General features: G+C 38.9%; 1 protein-coding gene across 1 annotated transcript in view, besides 3 other annotated features; it reads left to right on the forward strand.

Moving 5' to 3' along the window:
- C18orf63 (chromosome 18 open reading frame 63) overlaps positions 1-9559 on the forward strand; it is a 43351-nt gene extending 33792 nt beyond the window's left edge. Inside the window, exons 12-14 of the mRNA NM_001174123.2 lie at positions 3616-4638; positions 4827-4916; positions 6851-9559. Of these exons, the coding sequence (NP_001167594.1) occupies positions 3616-4638; positions 4827-4883 (1080 nt within the window). The 3' untranslated portion in view covers positions 4884-4916; positions 6851-9559. The remainder of the gene's footprint in view (positions 1-3615; positions 4639-4826; positions 4917-6850) is intronic.
- Positions 15032-15201: an enhancer, noted in NCBI's record as "experimental_50353 CRE fragment used in MPRA reporter constructs". NCBI's record gives its function as "activates a minimal promoter by MPRAs in K562 erythroleukemia cells, with activity observed for both the introgressed and non-introgressed 18:72031982 variant alleles {active_cell/tissue: K562}" and the evidence as "EXISTENCE:reporter gene assay evidence [ECO:0000049][PMID:34662402]".
- Positions 15032-15326: a biological region, named in NCBI's record as "Neanderthal introgressed variant-containing enhancers experimental_50353 and experimental_50354".
- Positions 15157-15326: an enhancer, noted in NCBI's record as "experimental_50354 CRE fragment used in MPRA reporter constructs". NCBI's record gives its function as "activates a minimal promoter by MPRAs in K562 erythroleukemia cells, with activity observed for the introgressed 18:72032107 variant allele {active_cell/tissue: K562}" and the evidence as "EXISTENCE:reporter gene assay evidence [ECO:0000049][PMID:34662402]".

The raw sequence follows: 20854 nt of genomic DNA on the forward strand, positions 1-20854 counted from the left end.
TGATGATCTGAGATGGAACAGTTTCATTTCAAAACCATCCCCCCCACCACCCCGGTCCATGGAAAAATTGTCTTCCACAAAACTGGTCCCTGGTGACAAAATGATTGAGGACTACTCCTCTATAGCAAGAGAATGGTGCCCTACATTCTGCTCCCCTACACTTAAGCTGCTAACTCTGTAACTGAAAATCAAAGGCATTCATAGTTAAGCGTTTCTGCAAAAACAGAAGTGTGGCTAGACCTTACTTCTACTTCCAAATATTTTATGAGTGCATCTGATTGGCTGGTTCTAAATCACATCCAAACCCTAGCTGCAAAAGATGAAATATAAATTTTAGATTTCCAGGCTTTAGTCTGTATAGGAGCACAAGGAGGAGGGTGGAATGGAGGTTGAACACCAGTCCATCCTATCCATTGCAGTCACAGCATAGAGATTGGCTGTGGGGTGTGGGGGTAGGAGGCCTTCACACCTTCACTTCTTGACCTGGGTTGATTTAATGGTGGTGGTCTCTGCTCATATGGTATCTCAACAGAGATAGTATATGAGGTTTTATCAGTTACTTTTTAGCTTTACCCTAGCTCCCTTGTACAGGGAGTCTTCAGAAAAACAGCTCCCTCCTCTCTCTGTTCTCTCCAGAAGTGTATATCCAACCCTGTTACAGGTTGAATTGTGTACCCCTCAGATACATACACTGAAATCCTAACCCCCAGTTCCTTAGGATGTGACCTTATTTGACATAGGGTCACTGCAGATATAGTTAGTTAAAATGAAGTTATACTGTAGTAGGGTGGGCCCTTAATCCAATATGACTAGTGTTCTTATGAAAAGGGGCAATTGGATACAGACACACATAGAGGAAGAACACCATGTGAAGGTGGAGATGGTCATCTACAAGCCGAGGAAACAGGCCCGGAACAGATCCTTTCCTCCTGGCCCTCTGAAGGAACCAGCCCTGCCAACACCTTGGTTTCAGACTTCAAGGCTCTAAAACTGAGATAATATGTTTCTGTTCTAATACAAACCCCTTCTTGATGCATGCTTTTTCACTCAGCTGAGCAATGTCAAGGGGCAGTAAGCCAGTAATTCTTCCTTGGTTAACTTCTGTATTTCTTCATTCAGGGTCATGAAACTTAGCTGGGTTTTCTTTGCACCCCTTGAAAATAATGGGCAAATTAAGAAGGATGTGCTATGCTCTGAATGTGTTTCTCCAAAATTTAAATGTTGAAACCCTAACTCCCAAGGTGATGATATTAGGAGGTAGGGTCTTTGGGAGGTGATTAGGTCATAGGGGTAGAGCTGTGCTAAACAGGATTAGTGCTCTTATTTAAAAGGCCCAAGAGAGATTTGCCTTGATCTTGGACTTCCCAGCCTCCAAAACTGTTGCTTATAAACTACCTACTTTGTTATAGCAGCCAAAAGAAACTAAGACGGTGTGTCTTCTTGCCCTGGTGGCATGGGTAAGCCTCCAACTGAAGTAATCTCCAGATAAGAAATGAATCCCAATCACCTATTTTCAGCATCGCCCCCAAATCTCACTCAATATTTTCTTGGGGACTTTCCGTTTTTCCCAAGAATAGTCAACATGGAAGGAGGAGTATTGTCCTCTATAATGACTTTCTATTATGTCAACTTAAGTATTATGGAACTAAGTTTCCTGGAATTTCCTTCTCCACATCATTTTGGTCATGGGACAATACTCCTCCCATTGAGGTATGGGTCTCGTTCTCTTGAGTCTGGATGTCCCTATGACAGAGTGATGCAACATACCCTGAGGCTAGGTCTTTAGGAGAAACAGCTTCCACCTGGTCTTTCTGGGGACATTTGTTCTTGGAACCCAATCTGTGAGAGATCCCCAGCACAGGAAGAGACTGCCTGTCAGCATTCCAGCCAACAGCCAGCATCACGCATCACATGTGAAAGAGGAAGTGACTCCAAGGTGACTCCAGCTGCAGAGTATCTAACCACACAGCATGAGAGATGCCAAACTAAGCCAAGCCAACCCCCAGAATAGTGAGAGATGATAACATAATTATTATTGGTTTTAAGCAACTAAATGTTGGTGTGATTTGTTTATGCCTAATAGATAATTGGATTAGTCTCTTACTTGTGCCTATTTCCAACTCTGATTTCCCAAAATCTTTCCTATTCTCTTCTCAACCTAATTCAACAATGGAACCTCCAGTAGTGGAGAGAAAAACCAGTCATTCAAGTTTGCATATTATTCCTAGCAGTTTTAAAATGTTTATTTCAAGCTGTGAACCTGTGTTTTGATGGGGAAAGTGAGAAAAGAACTTGGTGTTCAGTGTTTCAGGTTATTGCTACCTATCACTCTTTTACAGACAACAGGACAAGATATGTACTTTAAAAGACAATACTTCCACCAAGAGATGAGTGGATAAAATATGCTATATAAGTACAGTGGAATAGTCAGTCATTAAAAGGAATAAATCCTGACTCATGTTGCAATATAAATGAACCCTGAAAACATTATGCTAAATGAAATAAGCCAGACACAAAAAGACAAATATTGTATGATTCCACTTACATGTGGTACCTAGAATGGGCAAATTCATAGAATAGAAAGTAAAATAGAGGTTACCAGGGGCTAGAAGGAAGAGGAAACAGGAAATTACTATTTACAGAGTACAAAGTTTCTGTTTGGAATGAAAAAAAATTTTTGGAAATAGTATTGATGGTTATATAATACAGTACAGTGGTAAATGTACTTAAAGTCACTGAATCGTTCACTTAAAAATGGTTAAAATGGTAAATTTTATATTATTTATGTGTATGTGTGTGTGTATCCACAGTTCATCTTTAAAAGACTGTAAACGCTTGGCTCTTTTTAATGTATCTGACAAATTTCTTTGACAAATACTTGCTGAATTGCTACCACGTACCAGGCACTGTGGTAGGCAGTGAAAAAGTAAACATGATTAAGACACAGATAGCGCCTTCCCTGTAGTCAAAATCCCACTTATTCCTAAAGGCCCAGTATAGATGCAGCCACCTCTTCATTAATTTCTTTCAACAAGGATTTTTAGTAACTGTGAAGGATATAAGAGTAAATAAGTCATGGTTCTTACCCTCCAAGAATCTGGTACCTACTTAGGAAGATGGAATATGTGCACTAAAAGATAAGAGAGCTTACCTTGTAATATTTTTTTGTGACAAATATTATTTAATTGATAGCAGATCCTTGGAGAGTTGACAGAAAAACAGTCGCTCTGTGGTAGATTGATGGGTGGGAGAAGGTGGGACTTTGAGTATCTGAAGGAGGTCATACCTTGCTCAGTGAGCAAGGCAGCAGCATGAGCATGTTTGGAGGACAGTGGGTAGCTGTGTGAATGGTTTTTATGGTAGATTTATATGAAATGTAGTATATACCTTTATCTTAAGATAGTATCTTGGATAGTATCTAAAGGAGGATACAAACCATAAGAAATGTACTCATTTCCACCAGAAGGCTCATTTTTATTTTGTTTTTCTTTACCTGTTCTGTAAATCATAGTGTTGCTTTATATTCTTATTTGGATGATACTTTATATTTTATTTCTTTTCCATTAAGGACATTATTAACATTTTAAATTTTTTTTTAATCTCTATCCTTTTCAGGAACACAAAGTCAAGCCACCCAATTTGACCACTAAAAAAATGCTTAGGGCATCTCTGACTCAAGCCACTTCCAGAAAGCCTGCCTGTGCTCAAAGTCTTCTACCATGTTCAGTAGCAGTGGACCACAAGGTGGAGCTTTCAGTCAGCCAGCCAACATCAGGCATTTTCTCAGCTTTGCATCTCCAGCCAGAGTCTGTTCAGGGTAGAAAGAAATCCCTGTCTATCAGGGCTCCACAAGTACATTCAGAAGTATTAATGCCCAACAGAGGAAATACTCAAGTTCAGCACACAAATCTTAGCTCCCAAAGCAACATCACCCCTAAGTTTGTACCAGTTTTCAAAAATAGATTGTTACAAATGAACAAAAATACCTCAGTACTTGGCAGCCCAAAAAGAAAACAGCATGATGTGACACAATCTAAATTGTTTTCACTCAAAACTAGTATGATCCAGCATGACAAACTGAATTTAGGTCCAGCTATAAAAAACCGTTATAGTAGTAACATTCAGATGCAGGCTGCTAACAATTTAAATCAGGAGAATTCCAGACCTCTGCAAGAAAAAAATACAGAGTCTTCTGAAAATATGACAAAATTTCCCTCTTCTCGTGGAAAATCGACTGTGAGTTTAAACAAAAATAAGCAACTATCTAATAGTGCAGTATTTGTGGTGTCAAATAACAATTTAGGGGTGGTAAAAAGTGCTGTTGACTTCCAAATGAAAGGAAAAGAAAATTTAACAGGCAAAGGTATAACACAAATTTTAGGGAAAAGCCATGGGTCACTAAAACTGAAAAGACAGCCACACATTTTTGAATCAGATGGAGAAACCGAAGATCCACGACTGCTACAGCAGCAATCAGAAAATCAAGCTAAAGAAGTTGGTACAAGTGACCACAGGTTGATAGTAAGCAAAATAGCCCACAGGTCTAAAAGAAAATTATGTCCAGAGTCTTCCAAAACTTCAAAGAAGCATCATTCCGATACTGTGCACTATGGCCAATCCAGTTCTTCTAAGAAGCAGGTAAAAAAAAAATTAATCTGGCACTACTTATCATATGCTAGACCCTTAAAACCCCTAAATAAGGATTTAAATGATTTCCCTAAGATCATTTAGAACCATACTAATTAATAAACAGAATATCTACCCTAGAGCGACTGTAAGTCTATGCAGTTAATTTGTAACAAATGTGATTCTTCAATCTAATACAGATACTTGACTCGGATAAATCAAAACTTAAGAAATCTCTCATCATTCATAATGCTTAGAACATGGACCTGAAAGAAGGAAATGTCTACCAGGTAACTGAAGTGATAGCTTTTGATTTGTTTTTACATTATCTGAATTGGGATTGCCAAGTTTAGGGGTCCCCAACCTCTTGGTAAAAAGCAGCTACTTTTAAATTCTTTGAAACCGTAAAATCAGCAAAGAAATAGGACATGGTGGGAACAGTTCACTCCTTGAATAAGGACCATACACAGCAGCTGTTTTGTAATGATTTCAAAGAGGGATGGGTGCAAATGGTCCACTGTGGGCTCCCCCTCACTCTGTTCTGGGGATCCTTGCAGACTAGGAAGAGCTCACACAGCAGCAGCAGACTATCTAAAAATAGAAGATTTGAACAGCTACTACAATATCCACTTTTTGGGATACCTACCCAAGATAATAAACCTTAAATGATGTTTCAAAGGTTAATCATTTAGTTAAAATTTACTCCAAAAGTGCTACAGTGCTGGCTATGTTTAAACTTGATACTCAGTTAATAATGCCCAGTTCATGGCACTGAATTTACAACATGATACATCTGGAAATTACATTTTATTTTGTTCTGCCATCTGTTCTATTCTAAGAACAAACATATTACTAAAATACCCACAAGTTATTTTTTTACATAGAACTATTGGAATACTTTCAATTCAGATTCTTTAAGAACCAACTAGAAAACATTTTCTTTTCCAACTGCTATTTCTTCCTATAACTAATAAAATTTTCAGCCTGATTTTAATTAACCAGAAAGTATTTGAGTCTATTCCTATATACGTTATGATGTTGTATTTTATGTACTTTTTGACATCTTAATATTTTAATGCACTCAGTAGGTGACTGAGGGAAAAATGCATGTGCCTTTAAGATGTTACTTGCATTTTTAGAAATCAATGAAATCTATTCTAGGTTTCATATTGTTTTAGAAATATAGCACTTTCCCACTTTGAACTACTTAAGTCCTGACACAATTTTTAAAATTAAAAAGTCATCCAGGAGGGGGGGCTTACACCTGTAATTCCTACACTTTGGGAGGCTGAGGCAGGCAGATTGCTTGAGCTCAGGAGTTCCAGACCAGCCTGGGCAACATGGGTGAGACCCTGTCTCCACAAAAAATATAAAAAATTAGGGCCGGGCATGGTGGCTCACGCCTGTAATTCCAGCATTTTGGGAGGCTGAGGCAGGTGGATCACCTGAGATCAGGAGTTTGATACCAGCTTGGGCAACATGGCAAAACCCCTTCTCTACTAAAAGTACAAAAAATTAGCTGGACGTGCTACTCAGGAGGCTGAGGCAGAAGAATCACTTGAACCCGAGAAGTGGAGATTGCAGTGAGCTGAGATCACGCCATTGCACTCCAGCCTGGGTGACAGAGTGAGACTCTGTCCCCTGCCAGAAATATTAGCTGGGCGTGGTGGTGCATGCCTATAGTCCCAGCTACTTCGGGGACTGAGGTGGGAGGATTGCTTGAGCCTGGGAGGTAGAGGTTGCAGTGAACTGTGTTTGCCACTGCACTCCAGCCTGAATGACAAAGTGAGACCCTGTCTCAAAGTCAATAAATATTAAATTTTTAAAATAATTTCATCAGGTAGAAGGAATAACGAGAACATTTTTAATATTTTATTTGTATAAATTTGTGGGGTACAAGTGCAACTTTGTTACCTGCATGTATTGTAGGGGTAAAGTCAGGGCTTTTAGTGTATTCATCATTGGAATAATGTACATTGTACCTGATTAAGTAATTTCTCATCATTCACCCCCCCTCCCTTCTTCTATCTGTCAACGCCCTACTCTTCTTTCTATCATTCTGCACTCTATGTCCACGTGTATATATTATTTAGCTCCCAATAACAGGAATCATTATAGAAAATAATTTCCCCTAAATATAAAATTAATACATACTCCTATACTTGAGTAGTACAGAGCAGTTTCAAGAAAAAAGTAAAAAACCATCTGTAATTTCTCTTTGCAGAGATGAGCATTCTGAATATAGGATGAACACTCTTCCAGATGCCTCTCACACTCCTGTGACCATGAAATCAGCTCTACTTACTGCTGTGGAACCTCCTTTTTCACTTGACAGTTTCTTTTTATTGTTTGCATAGCATCTTGTTGTATGTGGGTTTCTGTATTTAACTAGTCCCCTATTGATAGACACTTCAGTTCTTCCCAACTTTTCACTATTACAACATCATGTAGTCTGCAGATCTTTGCAAAATATCCAATGATCTTATACAGTAGTTTTGATAGTTGAAAATATCTTTATTTTGCCCTTATTGAAATTATCAAACCACATAAAGCACAGATAAGAGTATGAAGAACCTCTAAGTACCTATCACCCAGATCTACCAGTTATTAATATTTTGCCACTGTTTCATCTGTTCCTCACAGACATGCTTTTTTTTGCTATAATCTTTTAAAGCAAATTCAAGACATCATATAATTTTACCCATAAACACCAAAGTGTATATATTTCTAACATAAGATATAGTATATTTTTTAAGAAAAAAAGAATGTGTATATATATATTACATTTTGGGGATCTCTACTATATCTCTGCAGGCTCACTAAATTTCACTTTTGCTTTTATATGCAAATTAACAGGAAGCCCTGAATAAATGTAAAAGCTATTTCTCAACAAAACTGGAGCCTTTATTGGGGTGGAGATTTCTGTTTCCACCAGTACTCATTAGCATCTTCTGTGTGCCAGGCAGTGGGGACAACACTGTGTCCATGGCAGAAATGGATGAGACAGCCGTGGCCTGAGCCCCTGAGTGCTGGTGGTCTAGTCTCAAGCAAATTCATTCTGGGTTCCTGGCACAGACTTAGGGATATGTATGTATTGAAGCATATGTCCAGAATGACCTTCTAGTCCATATTACAAATAAATTATCTAACATTTGAAAAAAAGAGAAACAGAAGTGGAGCTTCTCAGACAATGAATATTATTCTGGCTTTCAAACATTTTATATGTTTGATATACGAAATATTATATAATTGTTGTAATATATTTAAAAGAAACCAAAATCTTCATTGGCTATTCCACTGAAACAATAATTACATAAAAATAGCCACTAGAGATCCAAGTATAAGTTGAACTCTGATTTTGTAAATGTGATTTATTGTCTCCACCACTTTACTAAACCATTGCAATTAAAAGCAAAAGTAAACAAACTCTCCTTCAAACGTTAAATGTTAACTCCTGCTCCTGAAATTGTGTTTAGTTAATTAATTTGCTATATACCTTTATTGTAAGCATTTCTGTTTTCCAGAATTATCTCTATTTCCCAATTATTTTACCATTTTCATAAGGATAAGCATTTTGTCTGAAGCCCATTTTGAGTGTGCTTTTCTCATTCCAAAGTTTGTATTATAGATATCTAGTAGACTGTTATAAAGAGTGGTATGTCATTTTGTTTATGAGGCTATGGTGAAAATAACATTAGTAAATATGCATTTTTGATGAGCACAGTCATCCACAGCATGTAATCATTCCTAAAACCAGCCTTCCCCACTGTTCCATACATTCCCAGGCCACCTTCCTGCTACTGCCCAGTCACTATGCCTCAGGTAATGGACACTTACTTTATTATTACACTGAGCAAAATAATGAAAACCATACATCCACTGCTGAAGTGGTATTAACATCTTCCAGTTCTTTATATAAATAATCTTGATAGCCCCTCCTATACTCCATTAGTGTCTAAAATTTAGAATATATAGTATAGTACTTGAGTTTAGATCAATGTTAACCTACATGGCAAAACCTGCCATGTTTAGTGTATTTTTTTGTATAAAGTAGGTTTGATTTTTATCTTACAATATTTATCCTAATGAAAGTTATAAAAATATATGCATATATTTATATGTGAGATTTAATATAGATAGGTATATAGATTGTTGATTTCATATTTCATGTTCCAAGAAGAGGTTCTAGATCAAATTTCTGTGTTCAGAATCACCAGAGAAATCAATTAAGATTTTGGTTCATTTTAAACATTGCAATTTTTGAAAGCCAAGATAATTCCAAATCTAATTAGGGAAAGCTACATTTTACTTCTTTGTGTAAGTTATTGGTGATTTATATGCAGTATGGACCATCCTCCCCCCAGAAATTATTCTTATATTCCAATTGTGCATTAGTTTTAGAACCATTTTAATTTTAAAACCATAAGAAAATAATTTTATGTTTGCCTATGTCCAGGAGCTGAAGAAATCAGCGATTACTTTAAAAAATATATGGCAATGTCAAAATAAATGCCAAGAATCATATTTCTAGGAATGCAAAAGTGCTTCTCATATACTCATATATTAGGTTTCACAGTATTGGTTGCTTACTATATTTGTTTTTATTTTTATTATATATCATAATTACACATTTTTATTTGCATTTGTTGCTTATTGTAGTAAAAAGGTAAAAAAAAAATGAACTTGTTAATGATTAGCTTTTATTTGACTAACCAGTTGACCAATTTTGCTCTGTTTTCAAATTGCATATGATGGGGTATTATGCTGAAACTGCTAATATATTGGGTATTTATTGATACTTAGGAATAGTCAGTATTTATAAATATTTAAGAATGTCATGGTCCTTATGTTTTGATGTTTAAAATGTTCACTTTGTTGTACGTTACATAGTGTCTTATTCAAAATTGAAAATAATAAAGGTATTTCTAATAGATGTAGTTTTCATATGTCAGAGTGACTGTATAGGAATGGAAAGGCTTAGATAAATTACAAATTTCTTTCCCTCTGTGGTTCCATTTCTTCACATACATTTGCTGCTGGACCCATGTAAACTACCTTAGGTCCTTAGTGCTTCACAGAACTTTTATTCTCAAAAGTTTTATTCTTTCATTTGACACATATTTTAGTATTTGCTATGTGCAACCATTATTGTAGATACTTGAAATATATCTGTGAACACTGAAATTACATTCTAGCAGGCAGACACAGATGATAAGCATACGTAATTAAATTATATAATGCATTAGAAAATGGCAAGTACAGTGGAAAAATAAACAGAGTAAGGTAAGATAAATAGTAAGGGTAGGCTTCCTTGAGCAGAGACTTGAACGAAGAGAGCACATGGAGTTGTCATCTGAAGGATATGCTTCCCAGGCATAAGGAACAACCTGTGTGTTTGCAAAATGTTTCAGGGGGAGCCCAGGCCAGAGTAAAAGCAGCAGAGAGGAGGATTCGCTTTACCCTGACTGAAATGGGGTTGAGGCCAAAGAAGTGAAGTGATCTGACTTAGGTTTCAACAGGACCTTTCTGGCTGCTGTGTTATGAATAGACTTGGGGTGGGGGTGGGGGTGAGAAGAAACAGGGACACCAGTTAAGAATGCAAGAAGTGGCCGGGCGCGGTGGCTCACGCCTGTAATCCCAGCACTTTGGGAGGCCGAGGTGGGCGGATCACAAGGTCAGGAGATCGAGACCATCCTGGCCAACACGGTGAAACCCCGTCTCTACTAAAAATACAAAAATTATCTGGGTGTGGTGGCACATGCCTGTAATCTCAGCTACTCGAGAGGCTGAGGCAGGAGAATCACTTGAACCTGGGAATCGGAGGTTGCAGTGAGCCAAGATCACCACTGCACTCCAGCCTGGTGACAGAGCAAGACTCCGTCTCAAAAAAAAAAGAATCCAAGAATCAGATGGCAATGATGGCTTGCAGCACTGTGGTGGAAGCAGAGAGTATGAGAAGTGGGGATTCTGAAGGGTAGAGCCCACGGGCTTGGGGATTTGAGAGAAAGGTGTCTAAGATGGCACCAAAATTATTGGCTCACTTGGAAGCATGGGGTTACCATCAACTGGGATGAGGAGTGGGTTTTGGAGTAGGAAGAGGTCTGGGAATTGACCATGGGGTTTCACACATGGGGACCACTGTTACCCTGAGGAGCAGTTTCCGTGGAGTGATGTAGAAGCCCGACTGGAGTGGATCTAAGAGAGAAGGGAGACCAGAATTGGAAATCGCAAGAACAGACAGCTCCTTAGAGAAGAGTCATCAGTGGACTTTTCTAAATCCTTATTTTCATTTTCCCCTAAATATCATTGCTTTTGATTATATCCTTCTTTAAATGCTGTTCTCCCATGGCCGTTATAGTCTTACATCTCTGGGTGCATTTTTTCAGTCTCCTTTACTGACTGGCATTAAGTACCCCAGGGACCTTGAAGGAAGAACACATTTGGGTCACAGGAGAAATGGGAAGAAGGCCATTCCAAAGAGAAAGACTACAATGAGCAGAGGTATGAAGATGCATGTGTGTTTAGGGAGCAGTGGATGCCGATTCTGGTGTGTTTAGCATGAGCTTCATATTGGGACCAGAATGACTGCAGAAGAAACTGGAAGATTGTCCCGGGCCAGGGCCATGAAGTCATATGGAGACTTTCAGAAAACAAATCCAGAGGGCGGAGATAGAAAATCACCCCAGGGACACACCCAGAAATGGCAGCTCCTGGAAAGCTGAGAGCACCGGGTGCTATAGAGGTGGAGGCAGAGATGAAGCTACATTTTCAAGCTTGAGTCGCTGCAAGGAGAGTATTGCTTCTTAAAAACAGAAAATGAAGGCGTGGTAGGAAGCAATGCTAGCAGATAGATGCCTGGTTTATGTGTTACAAACTGGGTTGGTGGCATTAGCGGAAGACCCTGGGAAAGGTAACCAATCACTGAGACTGAATATCAGGAACTGTCAGCATTTGGGGAGTCATCCACATAGACGTGTCAGCTGGAGGTGTGTGTGCGAGTGCTGGGAGTGAAGCGCAACTGATGCTGGCGGAGTAGGGAGGGAGGAAGGAGGACGGAGACAGTCGGCTCGAGTCAGAAAGCAGAGGTTGTTAGGTCAGGGAGGCCGGGGAGAAGGGAGCGTCAGCAGCCCACAGTGTCAAGTGCGGTGAAAAGCCCAGGAAAAGGACTTGAGAAGACATGAGGGGACTTAGTCTCTGAGGGGGTCCGGATGGCCACCACAATCCAAACTCAGGTCCTGAAGACATGAGAGGTGGTCGGGCATGGAGGAGACGAGTGTCCGAGGCCGCTACGAGAAGCTTGGCTGTGAGGCAGCACAAAGAAAGATCAAAGGAATCTTTGTGATGTGAAGCAAATGGATAGACAATCTATTATATAATTATAATTATATATTTATATATAATTATAATTATAATTATATATAATATAATTATATATTTATATATAATTTATAATTATATATTATATATAATATAATTATATATTTATATATAATTTATAATTATATATTTACATATAATATAATTTATAATTATATATTTACATATAATATAATTTATAATTATATATTTACGTATAATATAATTTATAATTATATATTTACGTATAATATAATTTATAATTATATATTTACGTATAATATAATTTATAATTATATATTTACGTATAATATAATTTATAATATATGCATATATAATATAATTTATAATATATGCATATATTATATAATTTGTAACATATGCATATATTATATAATTTGTAACATATGCATATATTATATAATTTGTAACATATGCATATATTATATAATTTGTAATATATGCATATATTATATAATTTGTAATATATGCATATATTATATAATTTGTAATATATGCATATATTATATAATTTGTAATATATGCATATATTATATAATTTATAATTTATATAATTTAGCCAGGAAATTCAAAAATACCTAGTGAGAATATAAAAATAGGTAGGATTTTTCCATTTTAACCTTTTCCCCTATGATTTTTTAAATCTGGGGAATCTGCTACCACTTAATATTAACAGAAGAAAACTCATAAGTAGTCAGTTTATTGAAGAGTAATATGACTGAATTTTTAAATATTACATATATTTTTACTCTTGTTTTCTGCAGTAAAATTTTTTCTAATTTCCATAAAAAATAAAATGCATTAATGTTTTATTGTATTCCACAAAGATCATCCTGATTACTAATATATATATATTCATTGTACTATGAAATCCCTGAATTTAAAAATACTGAAGAAATGTTTTGCTATTTGCATTCAAAGGTTATATATTATACACTTTGATACTATGAAATTATATAGAGAGTATACACACAATATTTTAAATTTTGTTCCACTAGCTTCTTTCCAAAGCATCGAAAGGAATTATTTCTACTTAACAGCCTGTATTCCTTGCATAAGAAGTACAAATCTGCAGTCATCCTCAAGGAGAAAATTGGCAAAACATAATTGTTGTGTGGTTTATTCTATATCTACTTCACCACTAAAATAATTTTGAAATAAAATCTTCAAATCTCTGAAGAACATGAGTTAAGCTGCCTTAAAATAAAGTCCTGGGTCAGTGCTTAGAGGGAACACACATCAGTATAATCATTTAGCTAAAATGAATAACATAATGGAATTTTATAAACAAACTGTTTAAACCATTATGGAGTCTTTTTTTTTATTCTCCTGATAACTCACAGAACAACAAAGTTTTATTTCTGAGAATAAAAATTTTATATAAATTTTCAAATTCATTTCTAGTTCTGCTATTTACCAATATTGCCATACTAAAACAAATAAGCATATTAAGCAATATATAAATATATTAAGCAAAGAGAGCCTCACTACCTTCTTTTCCTCTTTAGTTCTAAACTCTTGTTTAGGTCTGAATCAGAATTTGAAAACTAACGGCTTTCTGCTGGGGCCATTGGCAGCCTAGGTTATTCAAATTTGCCTCTCATGGACCACAGCTCATCATGACGGATTTTTTAAAGTTTATAGAAACATCAAAGAACCAAAATAATATAAGGAATTACCTGTCTAAAACCAAAAAGGTAAGCAGAAACCAAAATGAATTTTGCTCTGAGAAGATTTGATAACCTAGATTTGAAGCTGAGCTGCAGTTCTGATGATGCCGAGGAGTGAGGGGAACAGAAACAGAGAAGTCCAGGGCCCACCAAAGATGGCAGTCTCCCCAAAGCTGCCCACCAATCCCAGCCGCACACACATTTTGCTGGGTCCCTGAAGGGCTGTACCCTCAGAGTAAACCTAAGCCACAAGTCACCAGCTCCACTCCCTCCACCCGCAGGACACCATGGGGGTCTGTTGCCTTGGTGCTGAGTAAAGTAGGGGAAAAGCATCCCTGAAAAGACCCCCTCATCATCCCTGGTGGATTTCAGCCTATATTCATATCACCAACGTGATCCAGGAAACCTCAAACCAAGTATTTAGTTTAAAATAACATCAGAAATATCAAAAACTTTAGGGAGAAAAATGAAACTTTATCCAGTGGCATTAAAGGAAATCAAAGTAAATGGAGAACTCTGTTACGTTCATAGATTAGTCTTGGAGATGTGGATGTAACTCATTCCAGAGATGAGAGTGAGCAAGGAGAGTGTTTATTAGCAAACGGTGGCACTTTTTCCTGCTGAACTTAAACCGTCAGCTGCTGTCTTGGCAGTGTGAAACTGGGATCAACACAAAAAAGATGATAACTCGTCCCAGTGATGTCTGAGTCCCAGTGAAACAGTGCTTGAAGCCAGCTCTTCAGTCTTGGGAACAAAAAATTTCCCTTTGCTTTTCAGCTGGTTCATGTTGGGTATTACTGACTCTTGTGACTCAAGGAGTCATAATCAGTACACACCCTAATTATAAAGAGTTTATACAGAAAAATGTAAAGAAGGAAATTCAAAATCATCACCCCAAACCCCACCACCCCAAAATAATCATTGTCAACATATTGGCATTCTTCCCTCTAGATTTTCATGGGTATGTGTATAAACCTATATTTATTCTACAAAATTCCCGTCATACTGCCTGTTTTGTACCCTGATTTGTTTCAGTTAACATTGTTTTATATAACCCTCATTTGTTGAATATGCTTCAAAAAATTATTTTAAGAAATGTATAAGTTTCCAATATGTGAATATGCCAAAACACAAAAATTGTTTTCTTCTTATCCTACTTTTTTTTTTTTTTTTTTTTTTTTTTTTTTTTTTTTTTTTGTAGAGACAGAGTCTCACTCTGTCGCCCAGGCCGGAGTGCAGTGGTGCGATCTTGGCTCACTGCAACCTCCACCTCCCAGGTTCAAGCAATTCTCCTCCCTCAGCCTCCCGAGTAGCTGGGACTACAGGCGCCCGCCACCACACCCGGCTAATTTCTTTGTATTTTAGTAGAGACGGGGTTTCACTGCGTTGTCCAGTCTGGTCTCAAACTCCTGAGTGCAGGCAATCCACCCGCCTCGGCCTCCCAAAGTGCTGGGATTACAGGCATGATATTCTACTCTTTTAGCTATTAGCAGAAATTTAGTAAACCATTTTTGACTCCTGGGACTCTATTCTATTATGAGCATTGAGGATACAGAAATAAAAATCCCCATAGTCAAAGGGCGCCTCGTGGGTTAGGGACCAGCCATTCTGACTCGAATGAAACCCGCGCCATCTGTGTAGGGAGAAGCACAGGGTCTGTGTCCACTGTCTACGTGACTCTTCTTTTATATCTGCTATTGCTAGGAAAAAACTAGGAATAATTATATAACCTTACTAGGTGAATCCTTTATTTTCAAAAAAAAAAAAGTGATACTACTTTAGCCAATAGCGTTTCATCACAGTGGCAAATTAATGAGCTTACAGCAACTAAGATCTACCAGAATTCTTTCTACTTTGAAAAGCTAACAAAAAAAGAAATACAAACTAAGTAAAATGCGCCACCTTTAGAAATTTTTTTAGTTAGGAAATAAGAGTTTATATAATTTGCAGATACTCATCTTGGCCCTGAATTTTTTTATTTCTGTTTTTATTCTATGAAACATTTTAAAATTTGTACAGTTGCTTTTCAAGGTCACAAAAGTATAGCTTTTTGATCAGTATTATTTATAACAAATTCTGAAAAAATACATATAATAATATGTTAAATTGTACTATATTTTATAATTAAAGGCACTTTCACTACAATTTTCCATTGTTATTCCTCACAATATCTTGAGGTTATTATTTTCATTGATGAGATAAAAAAAATTGATGTGGAAAGAATTTATAAAATGTGCTCAAAGTCATACAACCAACTACGTGATAATGCTAAGGCTGGAACCCAGATTTTCAGACTGTTAGATTTTTACTTTTAGATGGTGATGGCTCCTGACCTTCTAAAAGGGTGACATTCACAAAAAAGTAAGTTAGCCTTTGCTGAGCCAAGTAAAGAATAAGAATCCGGGGCCGGGCGCGGTGGCTCACGCCTGTGATCCCAGCACTTTGGGAGGCCGAGAAGGACGGATCACAAGGTCAGGAGATCAAGACCATCCTGGCTAACACGGTGAAACCCCGTCTCTACTAAAAATACAAAATATTAGCCGGGCGTGGGGGGTGCCTGTAGTCCAGGCTACTCGGGAGGCTGAGGCAGGAGAATGGCGTGAACCCGGGAGGCGGAGCTTGCAGTGAGCTGAGATTGTGCCACTGCACTCCAGCCTGGGTGACAGAGCGAGATTCTTGCCTCAAAAAAAAAAAAAAAAAGAAAAGAAGAATCCATCTTTGAATGTGGGGAGTTGCAGGGCAGTTCTGAAGATGAAGCTTTCAGCCAGTCTGCGGACCCTGGAACTTCCTTCCTGCTCTTTCTCCTCCTCTGTAAAAATGGGTGAAATATAAGAGTTCTACTAATCCAGAGTGTAATTAACCTCCACTGCGTCCCTCTTGAGAAGCACAAGTTCTGGCCAGCCAACAAGTGGTCTATTTAAAGTAAGAAAAATAAAGGGTTACAAATGGAAAGGAGGCCTGGCAGGTGGGGGGCCTCTGACCACAGCTGAGGAACAGGGGCCTCCACTGTCCAATCTGCTGTCCAACAAGCTGAGCTCTTTTCGCCCTGGAGTGGGGGGATCCTGTTTTTGTTATTGATAAATTCTGGTCGTCTTTTGGACAGCCGCTTGCAGGGGAGAGATCCAGCACGATTCCAAGGAAATGTATTTCCTTTTTTGGAAGTTTAGAAAGTGGAACAAGAAATGATTGTCTTCCAGATCCATTACTTATGTAGGAAAATGTGTCTATTAATAAGGAAATTCTTCACAAGATGGAAATCACTTCATATAATGGTAAGACTATAAAATGCTTTCCTGAGATAGTATTGCAATTTTTAACTTCTGAGTGAATTGAAAAGTCCTAGAAATAAACAGAATTCTCAGACAATGTGGTTGCCAACCAATACACCCACAGCTTAGTAGAACTAGATTGTAAGCCTCACATATGACCTGCTGTGGCATGAAATGTAATCATATGAGGCTATTAGAGAAGTTCATACTATACATGGTTAGTGATAAGAACGCGAATTGAGCTGTGATCTTAGGTCTGCAGCTGGCTTGCATGGCTTTTACTTTGAGGGCCTCTTTTTAAAAAAATCAACTCATGTGAGTTCCAGAAAATAACAATAGCTCATACTCTCTGTTTCCAATTTAGTTTAACAGATATCCACATAATGAAGATGCTGAGAGATAGACCTGAGGACAAAGAGTGGTGAAGGAAGCTCCATGATGGAGCTACTTGTGACCCACGGGAATCTAAGGTATTACTATTTTATGTGTCTTCTTCAGGATTAACTAGAGAACAAGAGTACACCAGAAAACTATTCCTTTCCTCACTTGAAAAGCAAATGCAAGTTGTTACAGTGCGCAATAGGAAGCACTATGAAGAAAGAGCCAGGACCGAGCATATCTTCAATTTTAAAGGGAGGGGGAAATGCCCCCCTCCAAAAATTAAGTGACTCAGAAAAGCAGGAGATAGTCACCAAAAAGTTTGATTGTTTAAGAATGGATGGGGGAACAGAATTCACAGCTATGGTCAGTATTGAAAACGGGAAACATGGATAGATGGGAGGCAAGTCCACCCAGCATCTTATTAATCACAGCAGGGTTACTGCGGGCCTCCAGGATGGCTCCCACGGAGTCCCACCTTCCTCTGCGTGTGGCCTGTGTCATCTGTTCCCATAGCCAAGCCTCAATCAAATCCCTGGCCCACAGAAACAGCAAGGAATAAATATTCACGGCTGTTTTCGGCCACTGGATGTTGGGGTTAATTTGTTACATGGCAATAGATAACTAACACAGTGGTGCAGTGTAGGAACAAGGTCAAGAACCAGGGTTTGCAAGCAAAATGGCTAGGTAAGCCCTTGAGAACAGTCATATGAAAAATATGAGAAAATGTCTGGCAAATTAGACTGTGCAAATTAGACTGGGCTCACTCTCACCTCACTTTGCATAGGAGGAGAACAAAGCTCTGAAGCCTTACTACCCAAAACAGATTCCTCAGAAACTCTGGGGAAACCTGTGTTCTTACCAAGTCCACCCACTCCATGGGAAACACTGATCTAACTGTTATCTCAAGATTGGGAAATGACAAAATGCCAGGGCTTCTTTCCCCAGTTAACTCCCCCCAGTGTTGCTAACATACAAGAGCCTGGTCAACCTGAGTCAGGGTTAGGTGCCCCCTTCCCAGTACCCTGTCTTTTCCCTTTCACGGGACTTTCTTGGTTTTGTAATTGCCCTTTTACTTCTCTCTGGGCCGTGCTGGCCTCCTGAGCCAGTCCTGGGTGGCAGGAGCCATGTGGTATTGCCATGCCTGGCAGCCTGGAAAGAAAGCCAAGGCTGTGAGAGGCAAGGTGACCTCTGCCTGAGGTCAGTTCAGCAGGCCGGTGACACACAGAGCAAGAATCGGATCTTTCAATGCTTAGCGCGGTATTCTCCCTGCTAAGCCACACAGTATGTCGCTACTTTCAAGAAGTGTTTAAAAACACGTGATCTAGGCCGGGCATGGTGGCTCACGCCTGTAATCCCAGCACTTTGGGAGGCCAAGGTGGGCAGATCACCTGAGGTCAGGAGTCAGGAGTTCAAGACCAGCCTGGCTGCCATCGTGAAACCCCATCTTTACTAAAAATACAAACATTAGCCAGGCGCCTGTAATCCCAGCTACTTGGGAGGCTGAGGCAGGAGAATCACTTGAACACAGGAGGCAGAGGTTGCAGTGAGCGGAGATCACGCCACTGCACTCCAGCCTGGGTGACAGAGCGAGACTCCATCTCAAAAAATAAAAAATTAAAAAAAAAATTTTTTTAATGTAAAAATTGGCTGGGCATAGTGATGTGTGCCTGTAATCCCTGCTACTTGAGAGGCTGAGGCAGGAAAATTGCTTGAAGCCGGGAGATGGAGGTTTCAGTGAGCGGTGATCGTGCCGCTGCACTCCAGGCTGGGTGACAAGGGTGAAACTCCGTCTCAAAAAACGAAACAAACAGAAAAATGTGATTTAAAGGAAGGACCTAGAAGGCACGTTCACATGGTCATTTTCATGGGTGTCAGCAGTCTCCGCTGTATGTACATACAACTCCTTTGAAAACCTTTCTTCAGATTAGTAGCTCTCCGTCTTTTCTGTCCTTCCTTGTTCCCATGTAAACTCACTTCTCACTTCACTCAGGGGTGACCGAGGCTTTGAGGGCAGTGCCTGGAGCTGATCTATTTGAAAAGCCGCTCCTGAAGTTAGCTGTATAGTCAGGGAGTGCCTTCCCCACTTCTCCTCTGTTGTCCTCGGGAATCACTCTTAATCGGCTTGGGCCAGTGCCCTGAAATCTTCCTAGTTTACAGCACTGAGAACTTTTTGAGAAACAAGCGTAAACACTCCTCAGTTATCAGCAGAGATGATTGGCCCTCAGAGATTGTGATCAAGGATCCAAAGTCCATCGAGCAGTAACACATTTTCCTGCCAATCCCCAGTCCCCAGCCAGGCAGTTGTTTTGCAGGCGGGGAAGCCGGGGGACTGACAGAGCCCCCGACGCACGTGGCCATGTGATCCACCGCCTCAGAAGGTCCCCAGGAAATGTGGTAAACTTGCTACGGCTCCCAGTGTAAATGACAGCTAATGGTTACAACTGAGATTTTTATGGCTTATCTATAAAACAAAGAACTTTTATATATTGTAAAATTGAGTAAGCTTGGTATTTCCCAGAGCAATAAATTCAGCCATTTTCCTCCCAAGAACTTTAGGACTTTGTAAACCAAAGTAAACCACACTATGTACAAGGCTGTGGAGATGAAACAAAGGAAAGTATTTTTAGTTAAATTTCTCTTTAACCAGATTTACCACATTTCATTACTTTGCTGCCTACTATTGCTCTGTGGTCCCTAAGGAAATAAGTAGATGAAATTGAGAATAAAAACAACATAAAGGAGGATATTCAATACCCCAGGTTGCATATAGTCAATCGGGTCACACAATGATTAAATTTAGCTCTAGTTAACCTGATTTCAAGTGCGGTTCCATTCTGGGGCTCTGAGAAACAGAATACTTACTCTAAATTATCAGAAAATATTTATATTGAAACATATGGTTTTGAGTTTCCCTGCCGGATAGGAATACTAACACACAGCAGGCAGGTTCTACTTTCAGGGATCACTGAACATGGCATTTGCCATCAACTTCACAACTTTATTTGGCCAAGGAGAACATCAACCAGCACTCCTTGCTGCTCACCTCTTCACAGACCTGTGTACACACACACACCTCCCCTATCTGTAGCATCTTGGCCCTGTCGTGTCTAGGAAAGAATATAGATTTCCATTGTCTTATGGGAACTGTGACATTTTGACAGGCAGCTCCATTTAGATTTAGTCCTCCAAAATTTTGCCAGCCTTGAATGTGTTGTAACATTGTTTGGAGAGAGGCTCCAAATTGTGGAAAATCTGTGTAAGTCAAGAGAAAGAATTTTCAGACACTTAAAGCTGATGATATAACCAGGCTGTGTAATTTCTTCCTGGGGAAAGGGAGGGGTGGGGTTTCCAAATCAGATTGGTTCTCTCTTGCCTGAACTGGTTTTAATTAAATAGTAATTCTGCAAGGAGAGTATGGAGATGCCCCAGATGTCCCCTCAAGATTCTGTCAAGCCTGCCTGCGGTTGACTGAGTCACAGGACACAGAACAGAAAGGGATCTTCCTCCTTGTGAGCCCAGCGCCTTCACTTG

Source organism: Homo sapiens, chromosome 18 (genome assembly GCF_000001405.40).
Source record: "Homo sapiens chromosome 18, GRCh38.p14 Primary Assembly".
NCBI lineage: Eukaryota > Metazoa > Chordata > Mammalia > Primates > Hominidae > Homo > Homo sapiens.